The sequence below is a fragment of the Homo sapiens genome, chromosome 10, assembly GCF_000001405.40.
Source record: "Homo sapiens chromosome 10, GRCh38.p14 Primary Assembly".
NCBI lineage: Eukaryota > Metazoa > Chordata > Mammalia > Primates > Hominidae > Homo > Homo sapiens.
This window is the reverse complement of record NC_000010.11, coordinates 15468701-15480935: the sequence shown is the minus strand read 5'-3', so window position 1 is coordinate 15480935 and position 12235 is coordinate 15468701. Positions and strand designations below refer to the sequence as shown.

Genomic DNA, 12235 nt, shown 5'->3' with positions numbered 1-12235 from the left:
GTTGTATTTAAGTAAGTATCTACGTTAGTATTTAGGTAAGTATAAACTAATTGCAGTATTTAGGTTGGTGCAAAAGTTATTGCGGTGTTTGCCATTACTTTTAATTCTCCCCTTCTTGAAAAAGTATTGAAAAAGACATTCTTGGAAAAGTCTTCTGGGCCGGGCGTGGTGACTCACGCCTGTAATCCCAGCACTTTGGGAGGCTGAGGCGGGCAGCGGATCACGAGGTCAGGAGATAGAGACCATCCTGGCTACCGCGGTGAAACCCCGTCTCTACTAAAAATACAAAAAATTAGCCGGGCATGGTGGTGGGTGCCTGTAGTCCCAGCTACTCAGGAGGCTGAGGCAGGAGAATGGCGTGAACCCGGGAGGCGGAGCTTGCAGTGAGCCGAGATCGCGCCACTGCACTCCAGCCTGGGCAGCACAGCGAGACTCCATCTCAAAAAAAAAAAAGAAAGAAAAAGTCTTCTGGATATAAGATTTTAAAGTTGACTTAGTCATTGTTTACAGGGACATTTGCAGGGAGGTAACCTGCATACTGGGATTAACAGCATCAAGGAGATGGCTGCTGGATGTCCCTAGTCAGTAGACAGATAAGAAGAGTTACTGGACGACCAGTGAAATTCATCTTGGATAGAAGCCCTGTGGCCCAAATAGAAGAGATAGGGGAATACCCGTTCAAAGAGTGAATGGCTTTTTTCATATGTGTGTGGAGCAGGGAAGGAAGGACATCTCTCCCGCATTCCTTTTCTGAGGGATTTATCTAAAACCTGGCATGTCAGAGATGGAGAGCTTGACTCTCCATGGCAAAAGTAATCTGCCATGGGGATTGAATAGGATGATAGAAATGTCAGAGAATATGAGGTCTGTTCATTCACCAAACATTTATTGAACATCTGTGAGGCATAGGAATCTGTTAGGCAATTTAGGGGACCTAGGCAAGTCAGATGCTGGCCCCGCCCTTTAGAAGATTTAGGGCAGTGGAGTGAAAACTACCAGGCACTTTCCTGAGAACACATAGCTCTTTCGGCGGCACCGCTTTGGTTTAAAGCCTAGGTTTCTTCATTTACCAACCAGGGCTGTCAATCACCAAGCCATATTGGCCATGGTGAAATTTCATATTACATAAGTTCTTTGTTAGTACCAGGAGGGAAGAACCTTGGATTCGTTCCCCCATTGTACCCCTATACAGTAATGAACACATGTCTTCAATGCCTGGCACATAATAGCTGCAGAATAAATTTTTTAGCTGAATGAACATGCACAACTGAGGCAAAGCAATATGTTATAATGTCTTCTCGCATTTTGTACTAAACACTTTTATTTTGCTTTTAGCTTCCTTGACCTTTCACGCTTTACAAGACAAAGACATCAAAGGGGTGAAGATGATGATTTCAATAGCTAAGAATACTTTGGTTTTGTCAGATCTAATCTTTCTTTTCAGAAGTGACTTTATTCTAATTTTAGCCTTAAATAATGAAAACCATATAGGCAGAAGCTATTTGATCCTACTGTTTGGCAGGGGAAAAAAATCTACACCATTGGAATTGCTGTAACTTCTATACTAATTCATTGACACTCTTCCCGCTTAAGAAAGCAGAAAGAGCCACTTTGTAAAGTCTCTGTGGCTTGACAAGAAACTGAAGCTATGTGTAGATAATTTAAATAGTTCATGTGTCACTTGGGCAGTTAGCCTTATTGGCATTTAAAACAAAGTAGTATTTTCAGTAGCAAATACAATTTAGAGACATAATTTCCATTGTTGCTGAAAGACTTAGGCAACTTCCTTGTCCCTCAACAGTGAGCTTAATTTTTAACTCTGATTGAATTTCCCAAGACACTGAATGGCTTTTCAGTCTTCTCTCAGTTAGAAATAAGCCAGCTATTTGGGATAAGCGGTCAATAATTATTGAGATTTTGGAGTTGCTCACGATCTGTGACATAAGTTTTAGACATCTAATCATCATGCAGACAGCTCCCATCAATGCTTTTAGCGCTTTGCAGAAATTGGAAACATTCTCCAAGGCCCACCATCTGCTTTTAAAAAAAATTCTATTTGCAAATACCAAACCCTCTTTTAGCTGAATGAACATGCACAAATGAGGCAAAGCAATATGTCATAATATCTTCTCGCATAAGAGGTTATGGCATCTTTCTGTAGAGGTGAAATATCTACCGACAATGGCCAAAATCCTATACCTGATGTTCCCAGGCTCAGTTAGACTCCAGCTGAGCTCCTGCCCCCGGCCAGGATCTGGAGAGCCGCCTCCCGTGGTGCCATTTTATTAACTCACTCCAGGAAACAGTGAGGGGAACAAGGAAACTGCCTGTGTGTCCCATGATCAGCTGTGGCGTGAAGGGAATGATTCCTTGCCTTTTGTTTCACTGGGTCTCATCCTTTCTCAACCTTTTGCCACAGGTTATCACAAACAACATTCCCTAGTTCTGAAGAGTGTGAATGGACTGGGAGGTGTTGCTGAGAGCCCAGACTCTCAATTGCTTGAGTGGGTCCACGAAGACCTCATTCTCTTTAACACTCTACTCCTAATCTGCCAACAGGAGCCACTGACTTTCCTGCCTCAGCATCAAAGTTCCCCAAATCAGCTACTTCTCAGTGTCACATGGTCTTTAAGAAGCAGTAAAGCAGGGGACAGGATTTAGAAAAAGACACATCTGAAAGGTGCAGGAGATTCTCACTTTCCATTCCTTTCCCAATCACACCAGGCTTGCCTCCAACTCAGCCCCTCCTGGCCTCTAAGGCATTTTTACCCAAATTCCAGACCCCAGCTTCTCCTTCTTCTGAAATAGCTCCAAAGGCTATTTCATGCCCAAGCAAGGCTAAGGGTCCCTCGTCAGGGGAAGAGTGGCCAGCTTGCCTTCCCATCCCTCTAAAGCCCTGCATTGAATGCCACTGATGCCCACAGCCTTCAGTTCATTCAAGAGGAAGCAGCAGATCTGCTCTCCCCTAGACATGCACAGACGGGACCAGGCACTGGGCTGGCTAGAGTTGCTGGAGCCAGTAAAGAGGGGAGTTACAGAGAAGAAAATTCTCTACTCTCAAGATAGTGCACCTTGCCATGTGCTCTATAGCAATGCCTCCAGTGGGCGTTCCTCTCTCTCTCACACACACGCACACGCACACACACACACACACACACACACACAGCTACCTCTCATTTTCACTCTATGACTACTTCATTCAAATTTCTCTGCAAACTGGCTTCTCTGCTTATTTACTTGTTTATACATGGTTGACAATGGCTGCACCCAAAGGAAACGTCACCACTTGAGCCTACACTATCTGAATTCAACTTCCTGCAGGTAGCACGCTCAGTCTAATTCCCCAGTTACAGATTCCTGGATAAGATGATTAATAGTCCAGCTCTGGACAGTTATCCATCTATGGCCCATTATCTGTGCCCAAAAGAGGAGGGTCATACAGTGATTAGAGCTGTCCCATAGGGCTGAGGATAAAGCAAGTTCTCCATGAAGGGTTAGGCAATAGGAAGAAATTATTAAAATCTCTAGCTCATAGGACTTTTTAACAATTCTTTAAGCACCCAGGCAAGAATAATATTTCTCAACAGTGGTATGAAAACTACAGTAGTGCTCAATGCTACTGCCATATTCAATACCTTAAGATGAAGAAGCATTGTCTATTGAAGGTTTTCTTTTTTTCTTTCTTTCTTTCTTTTTTTTTTTTTTTTTTTTTTTTTGAGACAGAGTTTCGCTCTTGTTGCCCAGGCTAGAGTGCAATGGTGCAATCTCAGCTCACTGCAACTTCTGCCTCCTGGGTTCAATCAATTCTTCTGCCTCAGCCTCCTGAGCAGCTGGGATTACAGGTGCCCACCACCACACCCAGCTAATTTTTTGTATTTTTAGTAGAGACAGGGTTTCACCATGTTGGCCAGGCTGGCTCAAACTTCTGACCTCAGATGATCCCGGCCTCGGCCTCCCAAAGTGCTGGGATTACAGGCATGAGTCACCGAGCCCAGCCTGTCTATTGACTTTTGAGCAGGGTAAGGTTGTAATCCAAGATTTTTAAATACAACCAAGTTGTTCTTTATACTCTTTGCAACTGAAAGATATTCTCATATCTGCATGATATTTTTAAAAATATCATAACAAGACACAGTCTAGCTAACCAAGTGGAGAGAAGGACCCTCACAACAGGGGTTTTGCTACTACAGCAGCCTCGTGCAATATGGAAAATCCTGAAGGAAGCAATGGAAGAGTTTCGTGGTGAAGTTCCGCCAGTTTGGATGGAAGTAATTTTCACCAGATATATTAATAAAGATTGCCACTCACCTCTGAAGAATCACTACAGCTGGGACAAGATGCCTCACTCACAGCCACTAGAGGTACTCAAGCAACTGGAATTTGTCCCAGCTACTACACGGGAGCGTAGGCCACAGCCAGCTTACACCTGTAGCCAGGGCCAACCTGACACCAAGCTAGGACAGCTTGGTGGGACAGGATACCAAGGGACAGGACAGCTCACTCCATCACTAGAATCTGGGGAACATATGGGATCCCTGTGTATGTCAGAAAGCTGTGGGTTAAGTCCTTGAATTAGGTTAAACCAGACTTTCTGCCATTACCTGTGCTAGGAGCTTAGGATTCAACCATTTAGACCAAGGAATATTATTTTGCACACAAATCTATAAATAGCTATTAGTGTCTACTTATAGAAGACACTAATCACAATTAATAGCTCAAGCGTAAATAAGGCGTAGACTGAATACTCAGTACGTTCCTCTAAAATTGTTGTATATTTGCAGTAATAACCTTCATCTGATTGATTGATAATGGGGATATCGAGTAGAGATAAATGTTAACAAAAGGACTTCGTCCCTGTCATTGACAAAGCAAGGAAACGTGTGGGTTTACACACAAGATATATCATTCAGGTTAAAACAGACTAAAAAATTAATAATAAACAAAATATTAACAGACTAAAGCTTGAGACAGTAATAATGATAATTTTATTTGGTACCCAACTGGATACCACATCCACGTGAAGTACTTTCTTTGCATTCTATCCTTTTGATCTTTACATAAGACAACTGAGATTTATGTTCCATTTCCTATGAAATGGGAATAAAATTAAAGTAAGAATAAAAATTTCAAAAAATTATAATTGTTTTGTTTTAATTTTTAGCTCTCACAAATAAGTGAGAACATGCAAAGTTTGTCTTTCTGTGCCTGGTTTATTTCACTTAACATAATGACCTCTGGTTCCATCCATGTTATTGCAAATGACAGGAGTTCATTCTTTTTTATGGCTGAATAGTACTCCACTGTGTGTATGTACCACATTTTCTTTATCCATTCATGTGTTGATGGACACAGGTTGCTTCCAAATCTTGGCTATTGTGAACAGAGCTGCAGTAAACATAGGAGTGCAGATATCTCTTCAGTACACTGATTTCCTTTCTTTGGAGGATACTCCTGGGATAAGTAATAAATGAAGCTCTCAGAGAATGAAGAACTGATCTGCTGTCATTCAAGGACCACTGAACAAGGACCAAGCTGAGGTTCACACTCACATCTCGCTGATTCCAAAGCTCATGCTTTTAACCACTTTTATCCCATCATTTCCTGAAATTCAGAGTTACTAGGAAAGTCTGACCTGGAAGAATTCTCTTTCACCAAGTCAATTAGTCTGAAAACTGCAAACCAGTTTTCAACTTCCAAAGAGCTAACAAAACAAAAACTCTAAACACAAACAGGTGGAAACAGAAAACAGGTATATTGAAACAGTTGAGAATGTATAAGTGTTCCGTCAAAAAGTACTATGAAGTTTAAAACGTCAGACTGAAGATTTTTCTTTAAAAGTTAGAGGAAGGATATTCCAAAGTACAAACTAGAAGCATTGTTACAAATTTTGCCCATGATAAATATCCCAAGTTGAAGCAATAAGTTTCAGAAACTTTTCCATAGAAGAGTATACTCAATTTAAATGACCTCAAATTTTCCTTTGTTTTCCCAGATATTTCACAGTGACTGAATCAAAAGATCAATAAGTTGTACAGTCATCCATATTAAGTTTCTGAAATTTTTACAACATGAGAAACGTTGAGGTCATGATGCCAAGTGAAAAAAATCAGGATTCAAGTTCTATGCTGTATAAACTTCGATGTGTAAAAAAGGTATGGGGAAAATAACTGTAAGAAAACATACCAAATGGCTAAGAACTTGAAGGGTTGGCTGGGTATGTTCTGAATAATATTTTCCCCTTCTTGTTACTTCTCTTTATTTCCCAAATTTTCTTGAATGTATACATTCTTATCATCAGAAATATAATCCGTATTTTAAAAATAAAAATTGTGACCAGCACACAACTTTGTTAGTATAGTTGGCGCAATGGAAGGAGTAGTTCTGGAGTTCTATAAAAACCTGGATGTTTAGAAAATATTAATTCCCCCACTCCAGGGTCTCCCAGTCCTGGAAATCATCTAGCCCCATCTACGCAAGTCTTTTCATTTACACAATGAGAGAGTTGGAACAATGGTCTTCAAGGTTGCTTCCAATTGCACAGAGGATAATCCTGCTACTGAGAATGCTCCGTGGAAGAACTGCAGTGACCATGAGAAGGGATCTTGCAAACCTCCAACTACACGAAGTGTAATTGACCAAGGGGGTCAGCAGCATCCCCTGAAATCCACAGTTACATTCACGTCAAGGTGGCCCTTCTTATGAGCTGAATCCAGCCAATGGCTGAGCACAGCGGGGCAACCCTGAGAAACATGGCACTTCTCTGACACGTGGGACCTGACTTTGGCTGAAGGCCTCCCCAGTGGCCTTACTGAACTTTCCTTCAACTGCACAGCGCTTTTGGATATTTGAACCCAGCCTTCTTCTTGGCGGCCTCCTTTGCTCTGGGTAGTATTCTTATGGGGGTCTCATGGCTCTCTTAGCCTTTCTTGGCTCCAGCTCCACCTTCTCTCACAAAGGTACCCCTCTGTACACATCTTCCCACACTGATCTCATCCTGGCGTTTTTTTCCCAGAGAACCCAGATTAGCCCAGCATGTCAGTGGCTCCACAAAGTACACCTTCGCTTAGAAAGATTGTGAGGGGGAGTCCCAGGGGTCACAGCTCCTCAGAGGGCCTGGATACCTGGTTTGTACTTCCTTTCTTGTTGTGGTTTTCTTTCTTTGTAAAACAAATGTCAATTACAGTCCAAATTGGGGAGGATTCAGTTGCTTTGAAACCAATTAAATAAAGAAAAATAAGCCTTCCCTGGGCTTCTTTTAAACTTGCTCTTTTTCCTTCCTCCCCACCAGCCATATGTATCGCCTCAGCAACTTCCGACTCCACTTCTGATCAGATAATAAAGTTCATTCTTCATTTCTGTCAACTACAGCATGAGAGGAATCTTCCTCTGAGATTTAAAGTGTAATTAACTCCAGTGTGACTCCCCCTGCCCCCACACTTTCGGATGGTTAGGGGACCGCTTCTTGTTAAAATTCTCTATTTTTAATGCAGTTGCTCGAGCCTTTCATGGTTATTTGTCCATCTTTGTCCACCTTAATCATTCCTTTGAAAGTGTCAGTAGTTTAGCCGTTCCCTGACTCTCCGTCACTACCCCTTCCTTGTTAAGGATATTAGAATCCAAGGTGCTTCCTGCTGGGCTGTTTAGAATCTAACTCTTCTGCAAGCTACAATGAAAGCAGCCTCACAAACATCAGTTCAGAACCTCTGAATCAACATTTCAGAAAAGATACCTTCATGCATTTTAATGAGAAAGAAAAACAAACAACTCTCCAGGGAAGTAGACTCCTTTCTTTGATGAGCTCTGAGTAGTTCAGGGACTCCTCGGGAGACATTTCCTCCTCTAGGTAAGGGGTAGAGGTCCTGGGGAGGGCCACCCCCTAGGATGCAGTCAGCATGCCTTTCTCTCCCCTGAGCAATGGACTCTGCGGCTGCAGGTCTTGCATGGGGAATGTTTCATCTTCCCCGTGATGTAAGATTTGGCTCTGGCTTGTGGATTCTTGTGGCAGTGGTTGTGCATGGGCCAAAACCCTTACAGAGCAACGCTCAAAGAGATTAGGGATGACAGAGCCCCCTGCATGTGGACAAACAAGAACATGCCATGGTGAGAGGGAGGTAATCGGATTTTCCCCCTTCCTCCCTCTTAGTCACGGCTGCAAAACTGTCTCCAAACTCTATACCAGGTATTTTCAGATGGTGGCAGATGAGACAAGCCAGAGACCTAATCAATGAAGGACGGCCTTGCCAAGTCCCTCAAAGAGCTGGCGCAGTTGTGGTGCGAGAGTGGGTCGCGCCCCACCGGATATAACCATCTAACTCCTGGGTGTTCAGCGGATCTGATGGTGCATCTCAGGGCACTGACTCAACTCAAGATCAAGTGTCCTTATTCCCTGGTTTAACCGAAATGACTAAAATAGAAGGCTTTACTAGGCAAACAAACAGATTTTTTTTATACTGCTTGTTCCTGTTTCTATTGTATTGTCCTCAGGGAATATAGAAAAAGCAAATATTATCTATAGTGATTTCCTCTTATCAGAGGCCACATGCATGAGGCTTTATGTCCCCAAAGAATTCGTAGCCTTTCCCAAGGAGGTCTCCTCTAATATCCTCTCTGCGGTTATTTATTGTTGCATTTCCAAAATAAACAACCATACAACCGAAACACAGTCTTGGACAGAGATTCCTAGGAACACAAGGCTATTGATTTTAGGCAGCAGCAGGACGTCTGCATGTGGAATGAAGGAGTTTATCTCTTTAGCCTGCTGAACTCTGTGCAGTTTATCCAGTCACCCATGAATGCTTCAATGATACACACTGTCCTCCTTCCCACACTACCAAGGGGAGGCCACTGTGCACCAGAGAAACTCCCATTTCGAAACCTAAATCTCTTGCTAATACCCACGTTCCTCACACACCATTCAAGCAAGATTTGGTAATTTAGTCTCACTAAGAAGTAAAGGATTCTATCCCCATTAAGATGGGTGCAATTTCTTCCTTCCAAAAGTATTATTTCTAAATCTAATCTCTATTACAAATCCTCTGAAATGGAAGAGTCAAGTGGTGGCTGTTGGGGAAGGGGAAATTCTAGAGTTGGTGATTAAAAAGAGAATGAAACCCACTTTGCGAGGCCGAGGCGGGCAGATCACTTGAGGTCAGGAGCTCAAGATCAGCCTGGCCAACATGGTGAAACCCCGTCTCCACTAAAAATACAAAAATTAGCCAGGCATGGTGGCAGGCGCCTGTAATCCCAGCTACTCAGGAGGCTGAGACAGGAGAATCACTTGAACCCGGGAGGTGGAGGCTGCAGTGAGCTGAGATCGCTTCACGGCATTCCAGCCTGGGCGACAGAGCAAGACTCCATCTCAAGAAAAAAAGAAGAAGAAGAAGAGAATGAAATAGAACAAGGCTTTTGGGACTATGAAATTTCCTGAATTTTACAAAGAAATGGTGAAGAAGAAACAGGACGCTCCTAACCAAGTTTGAAGATTTGAGGTGCATTACATATTCTATATTATGGATGATTTCCCCAAAAGGTAACCTCTTAAATCCTTTTATCACACTCATTTACATCTCCAGAAAATCTTCCAGAAATGGTTTGTTGCTTTGCAGGTGAACTAAAAGCAATAATCATCACTGAGGAATCAATGTTAAAGATAATTTCTTTAACTTGGATAGTACAATGAAATCCAGTAGCCCAATGGTATGAAATTAGTGTGAAATTACTGTCTCAATAGTTCAATCTTTTTAAAAATTGTTAACTGAAGATTAAATGAATGAGAAAATACATTATGTAGTTCTCTTGAGAAATTGGGTTGGTGGCAAATTAACAGTAAACTCCTGAGAAAGGTGTTAGAGGTGACCATTAGGCATCTTTGTTAATGACCTGGCAGATGAAAAGCAAAGAAAGGAAACAAAATTTAAAGAAACCCCAGAGAGAAACAAAATCGAATTAGAAGTGTGACGTTTTAACGCAACAAGAGTTCTACCTCTGATTGAAAATAACACAAAACACAGACCACTAAAAGCATGAGCAAGACTGGAACAGAGTCAAGAAACCTGAGCAGAGTGTGGGAAATTCATGAGTGAATTCTTGCTGTAAAATAGAGAAATCAAATATTGGGGATTCTTGGGGATTCATGAACTGCTTCTCCTAACAAAATGTGATTTTCTTACTCCCTACCAGTCAATTAATTTTCACCTCCTATTCAGTAGAACGAAAAAACTAAATTCCAGCGACCTGAGAACAATATAGGTTTGGGCTTTGTTTAGTAAAACAGGCACTGGGACATAAACCTTCACTTGACGATGGGATGATAACACCGTGAACCCCAAATGCTATCGTTATGTTTCAGAGTTTTTGGTGTTCGTGAATCGACATGGTGTACATGAATCTGTGCATAATGACATGGATTCAAGGGAAATTTATTTTTAAACTTAATGTACATGTTTTGACTGAAATAACCATGGGGAAGAAGGGAATGAAGGCAGCACCATACTTAGGTGGAAATTCCTGCCTGAGAGGCCTTAGCACTCAGTAGACAAGAGAGAAGGGGAGGGGTATTCAGAGGAAATGAGAGAACACTGGTCACAAGAGTCATTGTATCATGAAAAACAATTTCCAAATGAATAGCTCAAGCCGCTTTATCCTGCCCCTATCATGCCAAAATGCGCAATCCTCTATAGAAGTTAAAAGCGATGGCTCACGCCTGTAATCCCAGCACTTTGGGAGGCCGTGGCAGGTGGACCACAAGGTCAAGAGATCGAGATCATCCTGGCCAACATGGTGAAACGTTGTCTCTACTAAAAATACAAAAATTAGCTGGGTGTGGTGGTACGCACTTGTAGTCCCAGCTACTCGGGAGGCTGAAGCAGGAGAATCACTTGAACCCGGGAGGTGGAGGTTGCAGTGAGCCAAGATCCTGCCACTGCAGTCCAGCTTGGGCAACAGAGGGAGACTCCGTCTCAAAAGATAAATAAATAAATAAATAAAGTATCTTAGAGTAACCATGAAGAAGGAAACAAGTGATCTATTTGTGAAACTGACTACAATCTCCCTTAGTGCTGAAAGTACAGAGTTCATCAAGCAGCAAGCATTTGTTGAGAATTATTACGGGCCCAGGACCACTGGGGACACTTTTAACACACCAAGTGTGTACTAGAATCTTCGTCATTAACAACATTTTAAAATTGAAAAGCCAAGCTCCAAAAACTCATAGAGGGCAGTAGAAGTCAATGCAAAACTGCATGGAGTTGCTGGTATCGTCACAAAGCCCCAGAGAAATCTGCAGGTGAATGGAAGCAGGGATATCCACAGAGCTTCCTGGAAGATGGGATCTCGAAGGCCAAGGAAGATGTGACTATGCAGAAGGGAAGGAAAAAGACATCCCCCCCCAAAAAAAATAAGACACCAAGCAAGGCTTTGAGAGAAAGGCCTGGCAGTGAGTGAGGCCATCAGTCCAGTTAGAGCACAGGGCCTGTGATGAAGTGTTCTGGCACTAACATCCTTGGAGGGGTAGTGTGGGGTCAGACAAGGAAGGACATGAAAGCTAGGAAGGAAGAAATGATGAGAAAATAAGAAGCCACTTCTCATTTCTAAGCAGGGAGTCAGGCCAGCTAGCTGGTCAGATTAGTGCCAAAATCCAGGCGTGGATAATGAGAGTCAAGATGAAAAAGGGGTGGTTATGGCAACAGAGAGAGGGGAAGAGAAGAGAAACATTCCAAAGAAAAGATGAGCGAGTCCTTTGAAAGGCGCAGTACATAGGACGTGGTGAGTCACATTTTACCCGGATCTCCCAGGGGTCTGCCTGCCACCAGGAGTCCATGGGCCCAACTGAGCAGATGCCATGTGCAATTCATTTTCCCAAAATACTCTTTGCAGGAGGCAGATGGAGGGAAGAATCTGTACACTGGCAAGTCAAAAAGCAACGTCTGGATACATGGTCTTAAGACCACTGTATGTTTTCCATAGAAGAAAACAACCGTAGGTTAAACGTGAAGACCACATATTGAAAAGGAGATGGAATTAGGTGAAATGGGGCTTATTTGACAAGGCTGAAGCCCAGCAGTTCCCATCCTGAGGTCTCCCTGTCAGCAACATTGCTGGTTCCTAAGGAGAAAGCAGTGAGACAAATTAGTGCTCAGGGTTCCTTCCTGCAGGAAAAAGAAAAGAAAATTGCACAGGGAAGAAAAATGGCTGATACCATCCTATTTCCACCATTCCCCAATCCAGCTCCACATGG

At 42.6% G+C, this 12235-nt stretch overlaps 1 annotated feature.

The window, feature by feature from the left end:
- Nucleotides 7286-8007: an enhancer, noted in NCBI's record as "OCT4-NANOG-H3K27ac hESC enhancer chr10:15514928-15515649 (GRCh37/hg19 assembly coordinates)". NCBI's record gives its function as "activates a minimal SCP1, AML or CMV promoter by ChIP-STARR-seq in naive H9 embryonic stem cells {active_cell/tissue: H9 hESC(naive)}" and the evidence as "EXISTENCE:reporter gene assay evidence [ECO:0000049][PMID:30033119]".